Consider the following 27,594-nt stretch of genomic DNA (forward strand, 5'->3'; position numbering starts at 1 on the left):
TCCACCCTACTTGCGTACTGATCTTAGATTACTATTGGTCAATGCCAAAGTGACCAAATTTCTTAATCCTAAAAAATGACATTATTTCTTCCTGGCTAACACGGTGAAACCCCGTCTCTACTAAAAATACAAAAAAATTAGCCAGGCGTGGTGGCAGGCGCCTGTAGTCCCAGCTACTCGGGAGGCTGAGGCAGCAGAATGGCGTGAACCTGGGAGGCGAAGCTTGCAGCCGAGATGGCGCCACTGCACTCCAGCCTGGGCGACAGAGCGAGACTACGTCTTTAAAAAAAAAAAAAAGACATTATTTCTAACCTCATAACCTGTTTTTCTTCATGCTGAATTTAACCCACGTACTTCAGTCTGCATTTTGAAAGAATAACTTTTAATACAGAAATATAGTGAGAATAAAATATTTGGCAGGTGGCTTATAACTTACTAAAGATGGCCACATTTTTTTTTAATAGTCCTCCCATAGAAAAGACAGCTAAGACAGCTACACAATTTGTGGGACCCAGTGAAAAATGAATATGTAATGCCCCTTATTCAAAAATTATAAATATTTTCAAGATGGCTACAGCAGAGCATTAAGCCAAGTATGGGGCCCTTTTGAGTTTTGGGCCCTGCGTTACTGCACATGGGGTTGCATGGCCATGAAGCAAGCCTGTATATGACTCCTCACTTTGAACCTGAGTGAACTCTGACCGCTTGGACCAGTGGAATGTGGCAGAAATGACACTGTGCCAGTTTCCAAGCCCAGGTCTTGAGAGAATGGCGACTTCCACTTCTTGTGTCTTGGAACACTCGGGAGTGTTGAGCCACCATGTAAAGACTTACTAACCTGAGACTGCCCAAATTAAGAGGTCATATGTAGGCATTCCAGGTGACAGTCTCAGCTGGGCCCAGCTTTCCAACCAGAGTACCAAGACATGTAAAATGAAGCCATCTTGGACTCTTCAGACTAGTGCATTCACTACTTAGAAATTAAGTGACTTCTGTATACACTACAGGGGAGAAAATCACCCAGCCAACCTCTGCCCACATTTCTGGCCCACAAAATCATGAGATATAATAAAATTACTGTTGGTTTGAGCCATTACATTTTGGTAATTTGTCTTTTCACCTGGAATAAGAAAAAATGTCTCTACATTTGATCGGGCAGCCTATAAATTGATAAACAATGCTACTGTCTTTTTTTTTTTTTTGAGACGGAGTCTCGCTCTCTCGCCCAGGCTGGAGTGCAGTGGCACGATCTCGGCTCCCTGCAACTTCTGCCTCCTGGGTTCAAGCGATTCTTCTGCCTCAGCCTCCCGAGTAGCTGGGATTACAGGCGTGCACCACCACCCCCGGCTAATTTTTTTGTATTTTTAGTAGAGACGGGGTTTCACCATCTTGGCCAGGCTGGTCTTGAACTCCTCACCTCATGATCCACCCACCTTGGCCTCCCAAAGTCCTGGATTAGAGGCCTGAGCCACCGCACCCGGCCTGCCATTTTTTTTTAAATGGGATTGGTAGAATAAATATCATTTGGGTAGAGTAGTGTGTATTTGGTCTTCAGACTATGAATCTCACAATCACTTGGGACATTTGGTAAAAATTTGGGGACCTTGACAATTTTGCATGTTTAGTTACTTCCCAGGTGATGCTTATGTACTTTAGGATCTCAGAACACTGAGACTGCATAAAAATTGTGGCTAGGGATGATCTAATTCCTCGCTACTCAAAGCATGGTCCTCAGGCAGTAGCATCAACATCACCCTGAAGCTTGTTAATCAGATTCTCACATGCTATCACTGACCTCCTGAATCACAATTTGCAGATTAAAAAGATCTCCCAGGTGATGTGAATATAGATTAAAATTTGAGAAGCACTACTGTAGAAAAATGGTTCTTAACCTTGGCTGCACATTACCATCACCTGGAGAACTTAAAAAAATAAAGACTGCTGCCTGGGCCTCACCCTAGACCAATTAGATCAGAATTTCCAGGAGTTGAGGTCTGAACATCATTAATTTTTTAAAGCTCCCCAGCGGATTTTAATCAGTAGTCAAGGTTAAAAACCAATGGTTTCACCTCGGCCATCTCATTATTGCCAACATGTGTGTGATCCCCATTGGTAACCATCTCAGTATCTGTTTACATGTATACAGATTCCTCTGTGACCTTTCTTCGCAGTTCATCATAGTGAAGGCAAATGTAATTTTGACTATATCGATAGTATTGTGCTTCAACTTTAGAGATAGACATGGCATCACAAATGGTCATAATGTCCTGATAAAATTTATCACTTTGGAATAAATGACCTGTATAATTGGAAATGCTTCATTGAGTAACAGTCTTTGAAGACAAAGGAACTCTGCAAAAGGAAGGGATTCTAGCTCTCACCAAAATTGCCAACCTTCTCCCAGGCTGTTTAGTCCTGCTCAGTTCTACCAAGTGAACTCTGACTTCTAAAGTCTCCTACTACAAAGTCTGTAAGTATGACCCTAATTTTAGGAACTAATTAACAATAGGGGAAAACTGTGATCAAGCAGCTGTGATTTAACATTTCTACCATTAGGGGTCAGTGTAACTCAGGAAAAAAATAATTTGGCTGTATGTATTAAAAAGGATCACCTTGTGAAGACGACAGTCTGGGTGTTGCCTTCATTAACAGTCATCTACACTGCCTTACTTAGTTCCCATCACAAGTAATAACATGACTCTGGAAATTATTATGAAACAGACAAGAGTAGGATCAGCAAGCTTTTTCTATAAAGGACCAAATAGTAAATATTTCAGTCTTTAGTCTCTGTCACATTACTCAATTCTACCATTATAGCACAAAAGCAGCCCCACACCATACACAAACAAATGGCGTGTCTGCATTCCAGTAAAACTTTATTTTAAAAAACTGGTGACTGGTTGAATTTAGCTCACAGGTTTGCTGACCCCTGAACTGGAGGAGTGGTTCTCAAACCTGGATAATTACCTGGGGAGCTTGTTAAAAATGTAGAGCCATGGACCCCACATCAAGTCCACCGAATCCAAATGTTTTTAAGTAGAGCTCACATATCTGAATTTTTTAAAGTTATCTTTTGATTTAGAAGCAAATACTAATTTAGGAACCATTAGGACAAAATAAAGTTAACTTTACCTCTTAGGAAACCGTAAAGTCCACCTTGTTACAATGTTTTTAGTATCTGAATAACTATCCATGGTATAAAAGATATAAATGTGAAGCTTAGGCTTAGATAATCTCTATAACTACTCTGAAAGTACATCAATGAAAGGCTCATTCCTCTGTAAATGTTTGTATTAAGGCCCTAGTGTTCAGATTATTTTGGCCAGAGAACAACCCAGCCTGTCCTAACAGACAGAGGGGCATACTGAATTAAATTGAACAAGGAAGGAGAAGACATTGATGAAAACAGTAAAGGAGAAGGAAAAGCGATAAGAGAAATGCTGGAGTGCTGTGTAGTATCTCCTAAAAAAATGTCCCAAATGTTCAATAAGTTTACAAATTCTGAAAAACTTGCTGTGACCTATTTTTTTTTTCAGGAATTGGTGAAGAAGAGGAGTTTAGTGCCAAGGTGGGTGCAAGAGTGAAACAAAGGCAACACATCCACATGCACTGGACAGGGAAATGGGGTAAGAATATTTTAAATATGGGGTATCCATTCTTTTATGAAGTATGTGTTCTAACGATAGTGTTTCCCTGGGCTGTTTCCCCTTGGGCTAATCAAATATATGGATATATAGAAGGCCATGCTTTAAGAAGAGCTGCAATGGGTTTTGTTAAGAATACCATAGCCAATATGTTTACCTGTGGTCCTGTATAAAGCATACTGCACATTTGGGATATTTGTTTAACAAATAAAGGGGTTCTATTTCTCCATAACAGCCTCTAGGATGAAAGAAGCCATTTATTTCTTATTTGCTGAGAAATGTCCCTTTGTTTCTCAAATTCAAGGCTATTCTCCGACCTCTCTCCGCCTCTGCCTCATGTTCATCTGTGAAGTTGAATATAATCTTAAATTCTTCTATGGAGCCATCTATCCCAAACCTAGTAACCAGCACCCACTTCAGGTTGTCATTAGTGACTATTATTTTTTCTTACACTCAATGCCCACATGCCAGGATGAAGATGAGGCGCCATATTCAATTAGCTCCTATGAAGGAGAGATGAAGTCTTCACTACTGTATACATTTGAGATGTGCCTTTTCTGACATAAATCAGCCACAGAGAAAAGAGTCAGCTGACATTTGTAGTTGCAAGGGGAAAAAAAATCTCTTCACAAGTAATGTATGAATAAAAGTGGCTGATTGTAACTGTAAGAGCTTAAAACAGCCCGGCGTGCTGGCTCATGCCTGTAATCCCAGAATTTTGGGAGGCCAAGGCAGGTGGATTGCTTGAGCCAGGAGTTTGAGACCAGACTGGGGAACACGGTGAAACCCACTGTCTACAAAAAATAAAAAAAATAGCCAGGCGTGGTGATGCACACCTGTAGTCCCAACTACTCGGGAGGCTGAGGTGGGAGGGTTGCTTAAGCCTGGGAGGTGGAGGCTGCAGTGAGCCAGGATCGTGCCACTGTACTCCAGTGAGAGTACAGTGAGAGTGAGACCCTGTCTCAAAAAAAAAAAAAAAAAAAAAAAAGATTTTATCTTTTAGATAAGATTTACTTACAGTTACAAAATTTTATTAATTCTCATCATAATTAAGGGGAGTTTATATGTGAGTTATAACCCCAATTTAGAAAGAAGTTGTGTTCCAGCATTCCAGCGATTAATTTAAAAATCTGATATTTAGTATTTGAAGCATATTTCCTCAAGAAACAGCGTTAGACAAGGTGGCTATTGGTTCAGCTTAGCACACAGCTGAATGCTGTTTATGCTAAATGCAGACTAAACAACTCAAATGCCACTGTAATATGTAGTCTTTGGAAATACGCTTTCAACATATTAACTCAGATTATCCAGGAACACATCTATCCTTGGGCACTGTGAAGAAGACACTTAAGGCCACAGGTCAAAGTGTGCACATTTCACTGGTCTGAGACAGTTGTTCCAGTAGGGAGGAGACCAGGAAAAGGAGATAGGGAACGAGTTGTTATATGGTTGCCATAGCTTAGATTCTGGCAAAATGTTGTGCAAGTTATTTGGCTTCTTGCACTTTAGTCTCCTCATCTGAAAACGGAGATAATAGTAGTTCACTTTATAGCAGTTGTAGACATCCAAATGAATAAACTAGTTTTGATTATGTTTTGTTTCCCAGGGATCCAGAAAATGCACTATTTCATTTAAACTCTCTTTTCTAAGTAACTTAGTAGGGAGACCCTAAACATTTTTTTGGCAAGCCTGACATGTATATTTCATTCTTTGAAGGCTGTTTTGATTGATATCCAGCAAAACTAGGGCCTCTCTGTGACAGAAATCACTGGCATATCTGCATCCTTAAATACATATGACTACCATTGTCCTAAAAAATAGTGTTTCTTCACTGTTTTCTGGCTATTACATTTTGAACCCGAGTCAAATCAGTCGATGGAGATGGTTATATTCTGATGGTTATATGTCTGTTACATTCTGACGCCAAAAGGCAAAAAGCACCAGACTTCCTTATAAAAATTATTTTATTTTTTAAGATGACAAATAAAAATTGTATATATTTTTGGAATACAACATGATGTTTTGATACATGTATATTTTGTGGAATGGCTAAATCAAGCTATTTAACATATGTATTACTTCACATACTTTCTATGGTGAGAATGCTTAAAGTTTCTCTTAGCAATTTTCAAGTACACAATATATTGTTATTAACTGTAGTCACCACGTTGTATGATGGATCTCTTGAGCTTACTCCTCCTGTTTAACTGAAACTTTGTATTCTTTGACAAACATCCTCCAGCCCCCCCTCACCACCAGCCTCTGGTAACCACCACCATTCTACTCTCTGCTTCTGTGAGTCCTCTTTTAAATTCCACATGTAAGTGAGATCATATGGCATTTGTCTTTCTGTGTCTGGCTTATTTCACTTAGTGTAATGTCCTCCAGTTTCATTTATGTTGTTGCAAATGGCAGGATTTTCTTCTTTAAAGGCTGAATACTGTCCCATTGGAGATATATATATATATTAAATTTTCTGTATCCATGCATTTGTTAATGGACACTTAAGTTGATTCTATATCTTGGCCATTGCGAATAATTTTGCAATGAACATGGAAGTGTAGATATCTCTTCAACACACTGATTTCATTTCTTTTAGGTATATACCCCTTGGTGGGATGGCTGGATCATCCAATGGTAGTTAAGTTTTTAGTTTTTTGAGGAACCTCCGTATTGTTTCCATAATGGTTGTACTAATTCCTACAAACAGTGTGCAAAGGTTTCCTTTTCTCCACATCCTTGCCAACACTTATCTTTCATCTTTTTTTTTTTTTTATAATAACCAGTCTAACAGGTGTAAGGTGTGATAAGCTACAACATTTGACAGTTTAACATTTGACTGTAACATTTGACAGTTTAAAAGTAAACAGGCTTCCAAATTAACCCACCTTGGGAAGGTCTTATAATTCATGGTGACATCCTGTCCCTCAGTAATGAACCTTATGAGTTCCTCTAATTGTTAATGTACTAATAAAGACATACCCTACTGACACTGAAAAGGATGCTGATTTGTTTTCAAATTACAAAGTTTTACTGGTTGTCTTGTACATAGACATTTTAGCCTATATGTTGCAATCTGTATCCAATTATTGTAACTTTTATATTGTACTCGCCAATGAAAAAGGACAACTCCTATGAGTAGTCCCCCTCCCTTCTCCTAAATTTTCCTACAAAAGCCTTCTAACTTGTAACGGACTCTGGAACCCTCCCAATTTTGTTGGTGTGTCTTCCTGGGTTGATCCTCACATTTGGCTTCCAAAGTAACTTTATCAAATTATTTCTGCCTTAAGAACCTTAATTTCAGTCAACATTCTGTTATAATCAGCAGGATTCCAGAGCAACTTCCCTGGATCATCCAATGTGGCTTTTGACCATTATGCATGTACCAGTAATGAACCTATTGTGTTCCCAAATTTAAATGCTCCTGCTGGGTGCTACAGATGGGTTCCTCCTGGAACCCTCACATCTTGGCTGAAGTTCTGGTTTATTGAAGCTAGTTTCCTCCCTGGCCAGGAGGTACAATGACTCTTTCAGCACAAGAGTTACTGCTACCAATTCAAGGGAAGGGTTTTATTGGGAATTTTAGGGCAGAATAAAATAGGAGCTCAGTGAATTGTTTCCCTGGAGGCTAGGTGAGACAATCTTTCCTTAGTTTTCTCCTTCTCAATCACATGAGGGCACTCTTGCTCCAAAGATGAGACATTTACTCCCTCTGGCCAAACTGTTCACTTTTTGCTCAGCTTGTAGGCTTTAGAAGGACTGATCATCTCTTGCCCCGAGCATCCCGACCCTTCTTTGGAGGTGACTTGGGAGTCCAAGACACATAAGAACTCTTTTCAGCCCATTGTATGAAATCCCCAGAGGAAAGATTCATAGTCAGCACACCTGACCCCTTATAGAGCTTGTCTTGCTCAAAGCAGCCAGGAAAATGCATCCAGACTGAAGGTATACCACCTCTGTTGACACTAGCTGGTTTCATGTTGTTTTACTTGCAAGTACTTGGATAAGTGGACCCATCTAACCCAGGATGGTCATCAGCAGCAGTGGCCAAAATGGGGATGTTTTGAAAATGCCTAAAATAATTTATCTGTGCACACAAATGGAAAAAGTTGGTTTTGGAGCCAGATTGAATGGGAGACTTACTTCCAACAGCACCTAGAAGCTTCTAAAAGAAATTCTTTGAAAAAAAAAAATGCCTCCATTCAAGAGGTAAACAAAAGGATATTTAAAACCATTCAAACCATTGTACATTAGTTGAAAAATACTTAGAAGGCTCTCTCCCTTTCTTCCCCATGGCTCCTCCTTGTCTACCCCTGTTCTTTCATCTTCTCTCTTATATGAACTCATTCCCTTCTGCTTGTTCCTTGGGCTCCCATACATCTCTTAGGCAGAGATTTTTGGAATTTCACAATGGACTCATTTACTTCTTTCAAGGGAGTTAAAATGTATTTAAATTTAAAACAGAAGGAGCAAATGGAACAACTGCAGAATGAGAATGAAACTACTGAGATTCTAAAAATACAGATCCAACAAGTTTTTTCTAAAGTGGTACTAATGATCAACACATTTTATGGTTTATTGCTAGCTTTGCCAAACCATTTGTGGTCTTCCATATACATTAGTAAAATACATACAGCCACCTCCATTAAAGTGGAAGTAAACCTGATTAAACCTTTTACCAAATATCAGATAATACTCTTTAAATGTGCTGCTAGACCTCACAGTCCCTTGCAGATATAAAACTTCACTGGCCTTTTAGAAAACTTAAATTATGTCTCTGTGCCTTGAGATGTAAATTTACTGTACTCGGTAAGATCTTCAGCCATGGAAGACAGATTAACTTGTTGTATTTACAGAGGCACAATTTAATTCAACTGTTCTTTTAAGCTGGTGAGTTTTACCTGACTCATGAATAAAATTTTAAAAGCAAAGCTATAAAATCTTTATTTGCATCTGTTTGTATTTTTATATGTACATGTACACATGTCTGTATTTGTATATTGTTTACATGGTACCAAATTGGTTTATAAATAAATAAGCACTCATCAATTAGTAAGCCAAAATACTTTGTAAATTCATATCACTTGAATAGATCTTTTAGCATGTAAGACTAGTTTAATAAGAACAACCATCTTCTGAGTTTTTGGCAAAATATCCATAAATTTAACTTTAAGCTTCTTACTTAAGTGAATATCTGATATTCACAGACTATAAACGTGGTTAGCAGTAAAATAACTTGAAATGTTGACTAGCTTTGTCTAATATTTCAGTTTTCATAAATATTCTAGGTAAGCTGTTAAAAATAAATAAATTAGATAACTGTCAATGAGATACACCTCTAGAGGAACTTTTCATGTAATTTGAAATCTTAAAGCTATGTTAAATTAAATAATAGATACTATTAAATGTCTGGGTCATTTCCAATTAAGGTAAACATATTATAAGAAAACATGTTTCTAAAGATTATAAAATGGTTTTCATTTATAAGACACTGATATGTGACAAGCAAAGATTCTTGTTGTCGAGGTTGTCACTAAAATGTAAGGTTACTGAGAGTTAAAAGTTCTAATTAATATTTATATATAATTTTATATATAGAATGTGCCAAAAATAAGATGTGTTTTTGATAAGAAAAAATTATAAGAAGTGTTCTTTATTATAAAAATTATTATAAAAATGTGTTCTTTATTGAGAAAGAAAAAATAATTTTGTCTAATTTGTAGGTTACTTAAAGGTTGTTTCAAAATATGGACTTAGGAAGGAGAAAGAAACAAGATTAAAAAGGAACAAGTAACTAGGAGAGAAAAATATGAAGAAGGTTATGGATATGAAGATGCATTTTTGGTAAGGAAGGTTAAAAAGAAAAGAGAATAATTTTGTATGAGAAAGAATCTCATATGATAAAGTTTTGTCCTAATGTAAAATGACTGGTTATTTAAGAAAGAGGAAATACAGGACAAAGCAGAAAGTCCAAGCGTGTTTTCAATGGTCTGCCTATGTCATGATAAGGTTCGTGAAAAGAGAATTTATGAAAACAATTTTGTGTGTGATTAAGTTGGCTATAATTCTAAAGAAATTATTTCTAAGTTTTCTAAAGATTAAGCTTTGACATTGAAAATATGCTAGAACAAAACTAAAAAAATGTGGTCCCCTGTATTATAACAAGGTTTTTGTAAAGTATTCATTTTCTTTTAATAAAATTGCAAAAGATTTTTATTTTAAAATTCTAAAATCCATTTCTTTTTGAAACTTCCTTTTATCAAGATAATTTCTGTGTTGTCCTTACTTGGTTTTGGTTTCTTTAAAAGGATTAAGGGTTTTACATCCATGTAACTTTCTTTATTGCTTTTGAAGTCTTTTGATTACCACTCTGGTTAAATGAATAAGTATTAATTAACAGTGACTGGCGATTCTGTTTTCATCAAATGCTTGGAACTTTTGACATCTTTGACAAACTTCCCCCAAATCAACTCCTAAAGTAGGCTGTTTCCCCTAAAATTAACTTTAGGGTTTTCTAGTTAGACCTCTGGAGAACCTCAAAGAATATGTCTTGTAGAGATATTAAATTATTAGGCTTATTTGGTAAATTGTATGAGAAACATTGTCAAATGATAAATGGTACTAGATCTTCTTTCAGTTATATTTATGGGCATGTTATTGATATAAATATCCCCAGAATTATATAAATTTATAAAAATCTAATGTTATGAGTCATAATTTTGACTATATTAAATCTTTTCCAAAGTTATATTTGTATGGATGTATTATTAATAGGAATATTGTAGAGATTACATGAAATTTATAAAAGTCTGGAAATCATGATGTGATGCTGTCAGTCATGATTCTGTTTTTTGTTTTAAAATGCCACATATAATAGAAACAACTAAATTTCTTTGTCTTCCACTAGATTTTAAACATGACTATTTTAAGTTTTTGTTATCCACAGTTATTATTTTGAATTCTTTACTAAAAGCATTTACAATGAGCTATAGTCCAAAATTGCTTTTCATGGAAAAGACTCTAACAACTACTCTTGAACACAGATTTCTGATAATGTTAAGATCAATGTATTAGGTAAAAACTTCCATAACTCTACTAATAAACTGATGGATTCATGAAGACAGCAAACCCAACACAAAGCAAAACAAGAATTACATGAAACTAAACTGATAGAGGACTAAAATGATTTTTATGACTGTTTGAAACATTGCTGATTCTTTCCATACTTGTTTTCCAGTCAAGAATTTTTTTTTCATTTGAGCTATTTATATCTTACAGCAATTGGTTAAAGTATACTTTTGTGAGCAAAATTGAAAGATTTACCTTTTTCTCTCTACCTAAATTCTCCAGAGAGTTTGGAAACTATTCCTAAGTGTTCTTATTTTATGGCAATATATTTATTTGCATAAGTTTGATTCAATTCTGTTTTCTTTTGTATTAAGTCACATTGGAAACATTGGTTATTTTACCAAGGCTTTGACTATAATGTCATATTTTCAAATATGACAAGACTGCTTTGAGGGATTGAAATTGACTTTGTAAAGCCAATAGACTTGGAAAAGACTGGCCTGGTACCTTGTCTACATAGTTTCTTTACGGAGTTCCTGACCTTGCAGTAATTAAAGAATGTCACTTTCTGACAGGCCCAGGAACCTCCAGATATTTTGGGCACCTCAAGAAGAGAGAAATTCACCCATTTCATACAGGTATTATAGGCACAGTCTGATGGTGAATCCTTGGCTTGGCTCCCTAGCCTGAAGGAGTTGTTAAAAGTCTAATCTAAAAGCCCTTATGAAAACGTTCCAGCAAAGTCAACTTAAAAGAGCCTATATGGCTGATCACTATTTTTGTTGTACTTTACGCAAATAATTAGGCCAATTATGATAAGACAAAAACTTATATTGCGAACAAAATTGGTCTCATTATTTGTCTTTGGTAAAAAAGGAGGACTGGAGAGAGAGTAATTATGTTTCAGAAGAAAATTATAGTATACCTGCTTTTTGATTCTAGACTTGCCCATTGTTTTTGATTTATTTTTATTACTATTTGCCTACAATTTGGACTGAATATTAGATTCCTTGAGATCAACAGCTAATGTCTCCCAGTGACTGGAGATGATTCTTTATTCAGGAAACTAACATGTAGCCTGTCTCATGACCTGCCTGATGTTGCTAGTAATTTTGCCTGCCTGTGATAACAAAGTTATTTCCTCTTGCTGAGGGACATGACTTCCTAGGAATGGGCCTTCCCAGTGCTGAGAAATAAAGAATGTCTGTCACTCTAACTTAAGCAGAGATTGAGTATCAATGTTTCCATGGGAAGATTTTTGATCAAAAAGGGAAATAACCTACAGGTCACATTTGACAGTTCACTTTAAAAGTAAACAGGCTTCCAAATTAACCCACCTTGGGAAGGTCTTGTGATTCATGCTGACAACCTGTCCCTTAGTGATGAATCTTATCATGAGTTCCTCAAATTGTTAATGTATTGATTAAGGCATAGCTTACTGACACTGAAAAGGACACTGATTTTATTTCTAAATCATAAAGTATTACTGATTGTCTTGCATATAGACATTTCAGCCTGTACATTGCAATCTGTATCTAGATTGCAACCTCTGTTTTATAATCTCCAATTAAAAACTATGGGGAGTCCCCCTCCCTTCTCCTAAATTTTCCTATAAAACCTTCCAACTTGTAATAGACTCTAGAACCCTCCCCAATTTTTTGGTATGTCTTCCTAGTCCAGTCCTCACATCTAGCTTCCAATGCAATACTTGGAATGCAGAAATAATTTGTCAAATTATTTTTGCCTCAACAGCCTCAGTTTTGGTTGACATGTGATATCTCACTATGGTTTTATTATTATGCAAATTATATAATTTGCATTTCCCTAATGATTAGTGATGTTGAGCATTTTAAAAATATACTGTTGGCTATTTGTATGTCTTTCTGAGATATGCCTATTCAGTGTGACTTTTGGTAAGTTCTTTTACCCGTTTGAGCCTTGCTTTTGTTAGTTTTTTTCCCCCTTGCTCATTTTAAAATCAGGTTATTTGTTTTCTTGCTATTGAGTTGTTTGAATTCCTTATATGTTGGATATTAAGCCCTTATCAGATGTACAGTTTGCAAATGTTTCTCCCATTTCATCGGTTGTCTCTTCACTCTGTTGTTTTGTTTTGTTTTCGTTTTTATTGTTTTGTCATGCAGAAGATTTTTAATTTGATATAATTCCATTTGTCTGCTCTGCATTTGTTGCCTGTGCATTTGGGTTCATATCCAAAAATTATTGCCCAAACCAATGTCATAGCATTTCCCCCTATGCTTTCTTCTAGCAGTTTTATAGTTTTAGGTCTTATGTTTAAGTCTTTAATTCACTTTGGGTTGATTTTTTTTATATGGGTCCCATAAAATAAGGTCCCATTCATTCTTTCTGCAGGTGGGTATCCAGTTTTCCCAACACTATCAACTAAACTGTCCTTTCCCTATTGTGTGCACTTGGCACTTTTGTCAAAAATTAATTTATCATAAATGTATGAAGTTTTTTCTGGGCTCTCATTTCTGTTCTATTGGTTTATATGTCTGCTTTTATGCTACTACTATGCTGTTTTGACTACTATAGCTTTGTAGTAGATTTTGAAATCAGGGTCATGCCTTTAGCTTTGTTTGTTTTACTCAAGATTGTTTTAGCTATTTGGGTTATTTTGTGGTTCCATATATATTTTAGAGTATTTTTTCTGTTTCTGTGAGAAGTATCATTGGCATTTTGATAGGGATTACATTGCATCTGTAGATTACTTTGGGTAGTATGGACATTTTATCAATATTAGTCTTCTAATCCATAAACATGAGATATCATTTCATTTATGTACATATTCTTCAATTGATTTTACCAGCATCTGTGTTGCCTCCCACACATCAGTTTATTAGATGATAACAGACTCACAAACTAAATTGAACCAAAACAAAAGAAGACCCACAAAAAGAAATGCTGCCCTGAAAATGGAAGGAAGGGTTGTTATTCATGGTGGGGAAAGTATAACCAGCATATATGATTTAAGTTTTAATGAAGCATTAACTGTTAGCACAAAATGATAGGATATAGCACATAGGGAATAGTTTGCTTAATCACTTTTCATTATCTATAACTAATGTTTTCTCCACTGTATTAGTCTGTTCTTGCACTGCTATAAATAAATACCAGAGACTTATAAAGAAAAGAGGTTTAATTGGCTCACAGTTTCACAGGCTGTGCAGGAAGCATGGCTAGGCAGGCCTCAGGAAACTCCTCAGAAGGGGAAGGAGAAGCAGGCACATCTTACATGGCCAGAGCAGAAGGAAGAGAGAGAGCGGGGAGGTACTACACACTTTTAAACAACCAGACAGCTAGATCTTGTGAAAACTCTATCATGACAACAGCTCTAGGGGGATGGTGCTACACCATTAGAAACCGCCCTGATGGTCCAATCACCTCCCACAAGGCCTCGCATCCATCGGGATTACATTTCAACATGAGATTTGGGCAGGGACACAAATCCAAACCATATCAGGAGTCTCCTCAAAACTATGTCCTCTGCTTTTCTTCCAGTGTATTTGGGTTTTGAGTGGCTCTAGTCTCAGCTGTGAGCTCAGCTCCTGTCTACACAAGTGACATTTGAATCCATCTTTTCACCTTTGAACTTATCACCTCTGTCCATTTTTTACATTGCCATTTTTCAAATACACTTCTTCCACTGGACATTCATTTACAACTCAAATTATACCCAGTGAAAGCCTGTCTTCTACTCTTTCCTAGGGAAGGGTAGCCACAGCCTTTTCCCTTACACCATTTAGTCTCCAAATCAGGCAATTTATAAGTCCCATTTGTGACTTAGCAATAGTCTCTTACCAACTCCACCAAGCCAGTTAATGCAAATTTACTTGATTCCCTGAGTCACTAGAAGGAGTTCCTAGAGATTCAAGTTCACTGCCCTTGCCTCACGTATACCTTATGCAAGTTAATTTTGATCCTTGGTGGTTATCCACAATTTCTCTTTAGGAAAGTTTAAAAATACCACCAAAAAGAAACTTCAGATTCATTTAAAATCTATTCTTGCATTTTCTCCTATATGTACCTTTATTGCTTAAAATTGTTCAATTTTTTAAGAAGATTTTAGATTATTATGTCATCTTTTCCCTCTGTGCAGTTTTAGAACCACAGTAATATTGCCCAGAATATTGGAGCTATGTTTTCACCATAGTACATTCCCTAGCGTTGGACTTTTCTAGTTAATCCCTGAGATTTTCCAAAGCTTTTACATAGTGGAAGGGAATAAAGGAGGCAGTGAGACAAAGCAAGGTTTGAATCCCAGTTCTGCTATTTTCTAGCAGGGTGACTTTTGATAAATTCCTTTACTCCTCTGAGCCTTGCTTTTGTCTGTTAGTTTCTTTCCCTCTTAACTATAAAATGAAGTTGGTAATGTGTGCCTCATAGACTGGCTTTAAGAATTAAATGAGGTAACACAGTGGTGGCTCTACCTAGCAGGATCCCCAACAGTGGCTCAGTGAGTGCTAGCTCCTTTCTCCCTCACTTCTCATCCCATTCCACCCCCTTGCATCCAGGAGCTAAGTAGAACCAATTTCCTGAGAGTTAACGGGTTAAAGTTCAGATGGAAGTAGAGTCTGACATTATATGCATTATTAATAAAAATCGACAAACATATGTTTTTCACTTCCATGTAGTTCTCTTATAGGAAAACCTTAGCTATGTAAAATACCACCCCAAACCCATAAGTGGAAAAAGAGAAAAGTAATTTTGGTAAAATTCTAAACACTTTCCATGTCCAGCATTCATCTAACTCACAGGAGAGGATCCATGAAGATCCTATGCTCTATTGTGTTGGACCTTGGCTTTCAAATTTATAATAGATTAGAAAAGACTGGACAAAGTGGAAACATTGGCAGTAGTGAAAACTACAGCTGTGGCCTGAAGTCGAGAAAGGAAGCTGGAAAACCACAAAAATTAGATAGGATAATTTTCTTTAAAAAAGAAGTAGTTTAGCACCTTTAGCAGTTCTGCAGTCCCTGAGAACATTATAGGCTAGTATAACGATCAATGTTCATAATAATGGTCCTTAATTGTCAGTAAAATATATATTATGTGGTTTGTAGTTGATGTAAGTATATTGGCAAGTGTATAATAATTTATAAAAACTTCTCTGCTAAGTAGCTAATATGTTGTCTTAAAAAAGATGTTGGTGACCCTTCATCAGAGAAACTTCTATTATCTTGAAACTTCAGTATTTGGAACATCTGTGATAAGTCAGTTACTTTCACTAATGCCAATGTGTGTGTGGTGAGGGGTTGGGTGTGGGTGGGGTGTGTACATACAAATAAATAAAAAGATTTGTTATGATATAGTTAAGTAAAAACATCCCCTTTCAACTCTACATCGGGAGAGTCAGTTACCAAAGGTATAAAAATTCTTAATTCTAGTATGGTTTCACAGAACATTGCTACAGTGAAGTCTCAGAAGATAAAACCACATCTATCAAATACTATTTCCCTGGGTTAGGAACAAACATCCTTTGAGTAAATAACAGCCTTCTTCACCTGAAGAAATAAAACTTCGCACTTCCCATCATCACCTAAAAAAGGTGATTTTTGTCATTCTCCCTCTGCATTAAATTATCCTGAATGTTTCAGCTTCTTAAAGTAAATTGGCTTCCCCAGAACTAGCTGTGTTTTTGAAATTATGTTTCTTTCCTTAGAAATAATTTCCATATATTATTGAGCTCTACTACAAAGTTTCTATCCTGGGTAATTTTTCTTCTGCAACTTTGTGGATTTAAATATAATAGTTACATAGGCCACATATATATTGACAATATTTATTATAAATTCTTGTGACTTAAGTTTTAATTTTTTCCTCATTTTTTTTCAAAACAAACCAAAGGCCTATATCCAACAGATGCTGAAGTTTTACTTCCATTTAAAAGGAATATATATATATAGCATATAAATATATATTTTATATTAAAAGAAATATAAATATATATTGCATATGAATATATACTTTGTGTATAAATATATAGATAATAAATATATGTATGTGTAAATATATATGTTTATTATGTATATTACCTTTACATAATAGTATACATATATATATCTTGCCTTTATTTGGATTAATCAAGTATTTTTAAATGTTATTTCATTTGTCCATATTAGCTTGTTACATATTTATGTATTAATCTTCTAGTAGTTATTCTAAACATTTCCACATATATCCTTGGTTATTCAGTTTATCATTATTTAGAACTTTTAGTATTTCATGGATAATGCAAGAATTTAAAAACTGAAACTTCATTTACCCCATTTTCAATTTTTATGCTTTTGTTGTCAAGTATCTTCTTTCTCTATTTTAAGTTTTATCAAACATAACTGTTTTTATATAGTGAGCATTTGTTCATATTGATGTCCTTTCACCGTTTCTGCTGCTCTTCATTCCGTGCTGCTTTCCTCTGCTTCCATTTGGGGCCATTTTCTTTTTCTGTTTCTGTTTCTTTTTTTTTTTTTAATTATACTTTAAGTTCTAGGGTACATGTGCACAACGTGCAGGTTTGTTACATAGGTATACATGTGCCATGTTGGTCTGTTGCACCCATCAACTCATCATTTACATTAGATATTTCTCCTAATGCTATCCCTCCTCCAGCCCCCCACCCACAGACAGGCCTGGGTGTGTGATGTTCCCCGCCCTGTGTCCAAGTGTTCTCATTGTTCAGTTCCCACCTATGAGTGAGAACATGCTGTGTTTGATTTTCTGTCCTTGTCATAGTTTGCTGAGAATGATGGTTTCCAGCTTCATTCACATCCCTGCAAAGGACATGAACTCATCCTTTTTTATGGCTGCATAGTATTCCATGGTGTATATGTGCCACAATTTCTTAATCGAGTCTATCATTGATGGACATTTGGGTTGGTTCCAAGTCCTTCCTATTGTGAATAGTGCCACAATAAACTTATGTGTGCATGTGTCTTTATAGTAGCATGATTTATAATCCTTTGGGTATATACCCAGTAATGGGATCACTGGGTCAAATGGTATTTCTAGTTCTAGAACCTTGAGGAATTGCCACACTGTCTTCCACAGTGGTTGAACTAGTTTACACTCCCACCAACAGTGTAAAAATGTTCCTATTTCTCCACATCCTCTCCAGCATCTGTTGTTTCCTGACTTTTTAATGATTGCCATTCTGACTGGTGTGAGATGATATCTCTTGTGGTTTTGATTTGCATTTCTCTGATGACCAGTGATGATGAGCATTTTTTCTTGTGTCTGTTGGCTGCATAAATGTCTTCTTTTGAGAGGTGTCTGTTCATTTCCTTTGCCAACTTTTCGATGGGGTTGTTTGTTTTTTTCTTGTACGTTTGTTTAAGTTCTTTGTAGATTCTGGATATTAGCCCTTTGTCAGATGGGTAGATTGCAAAAATTTTCTCCCATTCTGTAAGTTGCCTGTTCACTCCGATGGGAGTTTCTTTTGCCATGCAGAAGCTCTTTAGTTTAATTAGATCCCATTTGTCAATTTTGGCTTTTGTTGCCATTGCTTTTGGTGTTTTAGTCATGAAGTCCTTGCCCATGCCTATGTCCTGAATGGCATTGCCTAGGTTTTCTTCTAGGGTTTTTATGGTTTTAGGTCTAACATTTAAGTCTTTAATCCATCTTGAATTAATTTTTGTGTAAGGTGTAAGGAAGGGATCCAGTTTCAGCTTTCTACATATGGCTAGCCAGTTTTCCCAGCACCATTTATTAAAGAGGGAATCCTTTCCCCATTTCTTGTTTTTGTCAGGTTTGTCAAAGATCAGATGGTTGTAGATGTGTGGTGTTATTTCTGAGGCCTCTGTTCTGTTCCATTGGTCTATATCTCTGTTTTGGCACCAGTACCATGCTGCTTTGGTTACTGTAGCCTTAAAGTATAGTTTGAAGTCAGGTAGCATGATGCCTCCAGCTTTGTTCTTTTCGCTTAGGATTGTCTTGGCAATGTGGGCTCTTTTTTGGTTCCATATGAACTTCAAAGTAGTTTTCTCCAATTCTGTGAAGAAAGTCATTGGTAGCTTGATGGGGATGGCATTGAATCTATAAATTACCTTGGGCAGTGTGGCCATTTTCATGACGTTGTTTCTTCCTGTCCATGAGCATAGAATGTTCTTCCATTTGTTTGTGTCCTCTTTTATTTCGTTGAGCAGTGGTTTGTAGTTCTCCTTGAAGAGGTCCTTCACATCCCTTGTAAGTTGGATTCCTAGGTATTTTATTCTGTTTGTAGCAATTGTGAATGGGAGTTCACTCATGAGTTGGCTCGCTGTCTGTTATTGGGGTATAAGAATGCTTGTGTTTTTTGCACATTGATTTTGTATCCTGAGACTTTGCTGAAGTTGCTTATCAGCTTAAGGAGATTTTGGGCTGAGACGATGGGGTTTTCTAAATATACAATCATGTCATCTGCAAACAGGGACGATTTGACTTCCTCTTTTCCTAATTGAATACCCTTTATTTTTGTCTCTTGCCTAATTGCCCTGGCCAGAACTTCCAACACTTTATTGAATTGGAGTGGTGAGAGATGGCATCCTTGTCTTGTGCCAGTTTTCAAAGGGAATGCTTCCAGTTTTTGCCCATTCAGTATGATATTGGCTGTGGGTTTGTCATAAATAGCTCTTATTATTTTGAGATACGTTCCATCAATACCTAGTTTATTGAGAGTTTTTAGCATGAAGGGGTGTTGAATTTTGTCGAAGGCTTTTTCTGCATCTATTGAGATAATCATGTGGTTTTCGTCATTGGTACTGTTTATGTGATGGATTATGTTGATTGATTTGTATATATTCAACCAGCCTTGCATCCCAGGGATGAAGCCCACTTCACTTGATCATGGTGGATAAGTTTTTTGATGTGCTGCTGGATTCAGTTTGCCAGTATTTTATTGAGGATTTTCATATCTATGTTCATCAGGGATATTGGTCTAAAATTCTCTTTTTTTGTTGTGTCTCTACCAGGCTTTGGTATCAGGATGATGCTGTCCTCATAAAATGAGTTAGGGAGGATTCCCTCTTTTTCTATTGTTTGGAATAGTTTCAGAAGGAATGGTACCAGCTCCTCTTTGTACCTCTGGTAGAATTTGGCTCTGAATCCGTCTGGTCCTGGACTTCTTTTGGTTGGTAAGCTATTAATTATTGCCTCAACTTCAGAGCCTGTTATTGGTCTATTCAGAGATTCAACTTCTTCCTGGTTTAGTCTTGAGAGGGTGTATGTGTCCAGGAATTTATCCATTTCTTCTAGATTTTCTAGTTTATTTGCGTAGAGGTGTTTGTAGTATTCTCTGATGGTAGTTTGTATTTCTGTGGGATCGGTGGTGATATCCCCTTTATCATTTTTTATTGCATCTATTTGATTCTTCTCTCTTTTCTTCTTTATTAGTCTTGCTAGTGGTCTATCAATTTTGTTGATCTTTTCAAAAAACCAGCTCCTGGATGTATTGATTTTTTTGAAGGGTTTTTTGTGTCTCTATCTCCCTCAGTTCTGCTCTGATCTTAGTTATTTCTTGTCTTCTGCTAGCTTTTGAATTTGTTTGCTCTTGCTTCTCTAGTTCTTTTAATTGTGATGTTAGGGTGTCAATTTTAGATCTTTCCTACACTTTCTCTTGTGGGCATTTAGTGCTATAAATTTCCCTCTACACACAGCTTTAAATGTGTCCCAGAGATTCTGGTACGTTGTGTCTTTGTTCTCATTGGTTTCAAAGAACATTTTTATTTCTGCCTTCATTTCGTTATTTACGCAGTAGTCATTTAGGAGCAGGTTGTTCTATTTCCGTGTAGTTGTGTGGTTTTGAGTGAGTTTCTTAATCCTGAGTTCTAATTTGATTGCACTGTGGTCTGAGAAACAGTTTGTTGTGATTTCTGTTCTTTTACATTTGCTGAGGAGTGCTTTACTTCCAATTATGTGGTCAGTTTTAGAATAAGTGTGATGTGGTGCTGAGAAGAATGTATATTCTGTTGATTTGGGGTGGAGAGTTCTGTAGATATCTATTAGATCCACTTGGTGCAGAGCTGAGTTCAAGTCCTGGATATCCTTGTTAACCTTCTGTCTCATTGATCTGTCTAATATTGACCATGGGGTGTTAAAGTCTCCCACTATTATTGTGTGGGAGTCTAAGTCCTTTTGTAGGTCTCTAAGGACTTGCTTTATGAATCTGGGTGCTACTGTATTGGGTGCATATATATTTACGATAGTTAGCTCTTGTTTTGAATTGATCCCTTTACCATTTTGTAATGGCCTTCTTTGTCTCTTTTGATCTTTGTTGGTTTAAAGTCTGTTTTATCAGAAACTAGGATTGCAACCCTTGCCTTTTTTTGTTTTCCATTTGCTTGGTAGATGTTCCTCCATCCCTTTATTTTGAGCCTATGTGTGTCTCTGCATGTGAGATGGGTCTTCTGAATACAGCACACTGATGGGTCTTGACTCTTTATCCCATTTGCCAGTCTGTGTCTTTTAATTGGGGACATTTAGCCCACTTACATTTAAGGTTAATATTGTTATGGGTGAATTTGATCCTGTCATTATGATGTTAGCTGGTCATTTTGCCCATTAATTGATGCAGTTTCTTCATAGCATTAATGGTCTTCACAATTTGTCATGTTTTTGCAGTGGCTGGTACCAGTTGTTTCTTTCCATGTTTAGTGCTTCCTTCACGATCTCTTGTAAGGCAGGCCTGGTGGTGACAAGATCTCTTGGCATTTGCTTGTCTGTAAAGGATTTTATTTTCTTCTTCACTTATGAAGCTTAGTTTGGCTGGATATGAGATTCTGGGTTGAACATTCTTTTCTTTAAGAATGTTAAATATTGGCCCCTACTCTCTTCTGGCTTGTAAGGTTTCTGCTGAGAGATCCGCTGTTAGTCTGATGGGCTTCCCTTTGTGGGTAATCCAAACTTTCTCTCTGGCTACCCTTAGCATTTTTTCCTTCATTTCCACCTTGGTGAATCTGACAATTATGTGTCTCGGGGTTGCTCTTCTCAAGGAGTATCTTTGTGGTGCTCTCTGTATTTCCGGAATTTCAATCTTGGCCTGCCTTGCTAGATTGGGGAAGTTCTCCCGGATAATATCCTGCAGAGTGTTTTCCAACTTGGTTCCATTCTCCCCGTCACTTTCAGGTACACCAATCGAATGTAGATTTGGTCTTTTCACATAGTCCCATATTTCTTGGAGGCTTTGTTCATTTCTTTTTACTCTTTTTTCTTTAAACTTGTCTTCTCACTTCATTTCATTAATTTGATCTTCAATCACTGACATCCTTTCTTCCACTTGATCAAATTGGGTATTGAAGCTTGTGCATGCATCACGAAGTTCTTGTGCCACGGTTTTCTGCTCCATCAGGTCATTTAAGGCCTTCTCTACACTGTTTATTCTAGTTAGACATTTGTCTAACCTTTTTTCAAGGTTTTTAGCTTCCTTGTGATGGGTTAGAACATGCTCCTTTAGCTCAGAGAAGTTTGTTATTACCAACCTTCTGAAGCCTACTTCTGTCAACTCGTCAAAGGCATTCTCCGTCCAGTTTTGTTCCGTTGCTGGCAAGGAGCTGTGATCCTTTGGAGGAGAAGAGGTGCTCTGGTTTTTAGAATTTTCAGCTTTTCTGCTCTGGTTTCTCCCCATCTTTGTGGTTTTATCTACCTTTGGTCTTTGATGTTGGTGACCTACAGATGGCGTTTTGTTGTAGAAAACCTTTTTGTTGATGTTGGTGCTATTCCTTTCTGTTTGTTAGTTTTCCTTCTAACAGTCAGGTCCCTCAGCTGCAGGTCTGTTGGAGTTTGCTCGAGGTCCACTCCAGACCCTGTTTGTCTGGGTATCACCAGCAGAGGCTGCAGAATAGCAAAGATTGCAGAACAGCAAATATTGCTGCCTGATCCTTGGAAGCTTCGTCCCAGAGGGGCACCTGCCTGTATGAGGTGTCTGTCAGCTCCTACTGGGAGGTGTCTCCCAGTTAGGCTACACGGGCGTCATGGATCCACTTGAGGAGGCAGTCTGTCTATTCTCAGAGCTCAAACGCCGTGCTGGGAGAATGACTGATCTCTTCAGAGCTGTCAGGCAGGGACGTTTAAGTCTGCAGAAGTTTCTGCTACCTTTTGTTCAGGTATGCCCTGCTCACAGAGGTGGGGTCTATAGAGGCAGTAGGCCTTGCTGAGCTGAGGTGGGCTCTGCCCAGTTTGAGCTTCCTGGCCACTTTGTTTACCTACTCAACCCTCAGCAATGGCAGATGCCCCTCCCCCCGCCAGGCCGCTGCCTCGCAGGTCGATCTCAGACTGCTGCACTAGCAGTGAGCGAGGCTCTGTGGGCGTGGGACCTGCCAAGCCAGGCATGGGAAAGAATTTCCTGGTCTGCCGGTTGCTAAGACCATGGGAGAAGTGCAGTATTTGGGCAAGAGTGTCCCGTTTTTCCAGGTACAGCCTGTCACTGCTTCCCTTGGCTAGGAAAGGGAAATCCCCTGACCCCTTGCACTTCCCAGGTGAGGTGATGCCCTGCCCTGCTTCAGCTCACCCTCCATAGGCTGAACCCACTGTCCAACCAGTCCCAATGAGATGAACCAGGTACCTCAGTTGGAATTGCAAAAATCACCTGTCTTCCTCGTCGATCACGCTGGGAGCTGCAGACCATAGTTGTTCCTATTCAGCCATCTTGGAACAGAACTTTTGGGCCATTTTTTATTTACCCAAAAAACTCTCTTAGTATTTTATTTTAGCCCAAGTCTGCTAGGAACAAATTCTCTCCATTTTTGTTTGTCTTTAAACATTTTTATTTCACCCTTTGAAGGTTATTTTTGCTAAATATCAAATTCTAAGCTGTCAGTTTTATCTTTCAGCATTTTTTTTTTTTTGAGACAGAGTCTCACTCTGTCACCCAGGGTGGAGTGCAATGGCTTGGTCTTGGCTCACTGCAACCTCCACCTCCCGGGTTCAAGCAATTCTCCTTCCTCAGCTTCCCAAGTAGCTGGAATTACAGGTGCCTGTCACCAAGCCCAGGCAATTTTTGTATTTTTAATAGAGATGGAGTTTCACCATGTTGGCCAGGCTGGTCTCAAACTCCTGACCTCAGGTGATCCACCCCTCTTGGCCTCCCAAAGTGCTGGGATTACAGGTGTGAGCCACTGTACCCAGCCTCTTTCAGCATTTTAAACATGTCATTCCATTGATTCCATAGCTTTCATTGCTTATATTTAATAGTTAACTATAAGCCTCATTGTGGTGCCCTTGAAGATAATGTTCCCCTTTTTCTTCTGTTCCTTTTTAAATTTTTTTCTTTATCTTTCATTTTCAGCAATTTGACTATGTTTTTTTGCATCCTGTTTGGGATTTTAGAGTTTTTTTTTTAGCCTAAAGCTCAATGTTTTAGGTTGATCATTTTTGCATATTCTCAGCCAATTGCTCTTTAAATATTGTTTTTGCCCAATTTTCTCTCTCCTTCTATTCTGATTCTTTGGTTAAATGTATGTTTGACCTTTTCACTGTATTGTATATGTCTCTTATCTTCTGAAAACAGATAAGAGAATGGAAAATAATTTTCCATTCTTTTGTTCTCACTGTATTTCAGTCTGGAAGTTTTATACTGAAATATTCAGTTTCATTAGTAGTCATTTGAGTTTGATTTGTCTTTAGAATAATCTATTGAATTCTTAAATGTATATATTTATTTAGCTATATTTGCTTTTTTATACTTAATTTAATTGCTTGAAATAGAGTCGTGTTTTTTCATAAAATTCTTCATATAGTCATCTATTTTCTCAACCCTATAACTATTCTAGAAATTTCACTAGACCAAAAGACTTTAGTAGAAAACAAATCTGCTGAAAGATGACTGTTGTCCTGGCCTATTGAATCCTATCTCTACAAGTAGTAACAATTAACACAAGATATAAAGGCAAAACATCTTGAGAATTACATGCAGCAAAAGAGAGGGTGACCTGCATACATGACATAAAAATGGTTATAGAATTTAAATGCTGAATAAGATTTTGGTGATTGTGTGAGCTAAACTCACCATAGTGCTTAGTATCTTGCACCTAATGAATACTCAATAAATCTAAGTAATGAATTTATTTTCTAGGTGAATAAATTAAGCCCAGTAGGTGACCTGCACAAGACGCATAATGTGACCAGCCCAAGACGCATAATGTGACCCGAACTAAGATGGAGCTCAATGTAGAAAAATGTCACACACAATTTTCATCTCTACAAAGTATCTTTGATATTGACACATTCATTTTTCTTTGCTTATTTGACTTTGCTTTCTTTGCTTATTTGACACTTTATTTTTTAAAATTTTAAATATACAAATTAAATAGAATCATTACAAATATAAAGTAGATAGAATAATGAATCTCCATGTACATATCACCCAAGTTTAAAATTGTTCAACATTCAAACAGTTATTTCAACCAGTTATTTTTTTCGTCTATTCTAATACCCATTCTCCAACCCTCCATTTATTATTCTTTAATAAAATTTTCAAGGTAGAATTTATAATCATGGAAAATACAAATCTTAACCGTACAATATTGGCAAATGGATCTACTTATGTAACTGTACTGTTACAGACTAAATGGTGTCCCTCCATAATTCATATACTGAATTCTTAACTCCCAATGTGACTATATTTGGAGACAGGGTCTATAAGGAGGTAATAATGGTTAAGTGAAGTCATAGGATGGGGCCTTAATCTGATAGGGCTCATGTTCTTATCAGGAGAGGAAGAGATGCCGGAGATCTCTCTTTCTGTGCATGCACAAAGAAGAGATCATGTCAGCATATGGTGTGACGGCAGTGCCTACACGCCAAGGTAAGAGGCCTCAGATTGATACCTGCCATGGCTGTACCTTGATCTTGGACTTTCCAACCTCCAAAACTGTGAGAAATAATCCACCCAGTATTTTGCTATTTTGTAAAGCAGCCTGAGCTGACTAATATATGCACACTAGCATGATAGGAAGCATAGCAATCTACCCAGGAAATTCTCTTGTGTCTCTTTCCAGTCAATTTCTAATGCTCTTCTTCCCACCCTTGAGGCAGCCACTGTTCGTTTTTCCCCCCTTATATTAGTTTTGCCTATTTTAGAAATTCATATAGATGAAATAATTCAGTATGTTGTCTTTTTTGTTTCTTTCATTCAGTATTCTGTCTGTAAGACTTACCTGTGCTATGACTCCTTTTCATTGTTCCATAGTATTCCATCGTGTGAGTATAATTGATCTATTCTCATGTTGTAGACATTTGAGTTGATTCCAGCTTTTGTGACTATAACTGCTATGAACATTCTTGTACAAGACTTTTTGTGGGCATGAGTTATGACTTCTCTTGGATAAATGCCTAGAAGTGAAATTGCTGGGTCAAAGACTACAAATATGTTTCACCCATTCTAGTGAATGTGTAGTGGTATCTCATTGGAATTATAGCTTAAATATCCCTGATGACTAATAATGTGGAACACTTTTTTAATGTGCTTATTGGTCATTTGTATATTTTTTTCTGTGAAGTGTCTGCTGTGCCTTTACTTATTTGGAATTGCTTACTAAGTTGTAATTCATTATATGTTCTGCATGTAGACATATAATTTGTGATATTTTCTGTATGTCTGTGGCTTGCCTATTCCTAAGAAGAGGAAAATAGCAGAAGAGAAGATAGCATTTAGAAGAATACACAAGCCACAGACATACAGAAAAATATATGCTATCTTTTGATGAACACAAATTTTAAATTTTAATGAAATCTAATTCATCAAATTTTTTTTCCTACGGTTATCACTTACTGCATTCTGCCTAAGAAATCTTTGCCTACCTCACATTATGAAAACACTATTCTTGATTTTCTTTGAAAGGCTTTATGGTTTTAGTTTTTACGTTTAGGCCTATGATCTATGTTAATATTAACATACTTGAAATCACATTGTGTATATAGCTTTGTAATATTCTCCCACCTCCAACACTATTTCATCAATCTTTTCACATGTCATTGAAGATACTTCATAAATAATATTAGGAGTTGTGTGACTTTCTATGCTATAGATGTGCTGTAATTTATTTAATGGTTCCTTTATTTTTGGACATTTAGGTTATTCTCCCTCTGCTGTTATACTTGTAATAAAAATCTGTTTTTGCATATGTATGTGCATTTTGGATTATTTCTTTTGGGTGCATTCCTAGAAGGGGAATTGCTGGGCCAAACAGTATGGAACACCTTTAAGTCTCTTAATACATATTATTTCCCTAGATGCTTTCCAGAAGAGAATATGATCATTTAAATTCCCACCAGCAGCATATGAAAATGGCTATCTCATCATATTCTCTCATTGAGTACTATCCCTCTTTCAAATCTTTTCTCCTTTGGTACACTAAAGAAGGTATTTCTTGCAGTGTCAGTTTGTATTTCTTTTATCATTAATGAGTTTGGACTTTTAAAATAGATTCATTAAATTTGTTTTCCTAATTTTTGAATAGCCAGTTCATATGCTATGCTCACTTATCTATTATTTTTTCAACAGGGGTCCTATCTTTTATTTCCTATGAGTTCCAGAAATTTATTTACTAAGTATATTAGCCACTTGTCTTATTTTATACTCATATTATTCTTAGTTTTTGCTTATGATTTTTGGTTATGATTTTTGATGATGTTAGTGGTCCCACTCAAAATTTTTGTCAGTACTATAAAGACATTTGGAAATATATCAGTAGGAAAATTTCAGAGACAGGAAAAGCTAGCAATAGTGAGCTAAGCATAATGCCTTTTACCAGGATGGTAGAGTCAGAATTTTCATCTTTGGCCTGCTCAGCAATTACTGTGTTCAAGAACGGGTCCCATGTTTATCTTCTGCCTGTTTCCCCATGTATAAAATACAGATACATATTAAAATTTTATGAGACTCCTAGATGATGTC

General features: G+C 36.8%; 1 long non-coding RNA gene across 2 annotated transcripts in view; it reads left to right on the forward strand.

Moving 5' to 3' along the window:
* NPHP3-AS1 (NPHP3 antisense RNA 1) overlaps window positions 1-27,594 on the forward strand; it is a 152,462-nt gene that overhangs the window by 2,207 nt on the left and 122,661 nt on the right. The window contains exons 2-5 of one of the 2 annotated variants that reach the window (NR_152743.1): window positions 2,405-2,470; window positions 3,537-3,626; window positions 9,368-9,488; window positions 24,772-26,821. This is a non-coding gene — a long non-coding RNA (NPHP3 antisense RNA 1). Of the gene's footprint in view, window positions 1-2,404; window positions 2,471-3,536; window positions 3,627-9,367; window positions 9,489-24,771; window positions 26,822-27,594 lie in introns of those variants that run through there. The other variant, NR_002811.2, reaches the window with a different exon arrangement.

Source organism: Homo sapiens, chromosome 3 (genome assembly GCF_000001405.40).
Source record: "Homo sapiens chromosome 3, GRCh38.p14 Primary Assembly".
Classification (NCBI taxonomy): domain Eukaryota; kingdom Metazoa; phylum Chordata; class Mammalia; order Primates; family Hominidae; genus Homo; species Homo sapiens.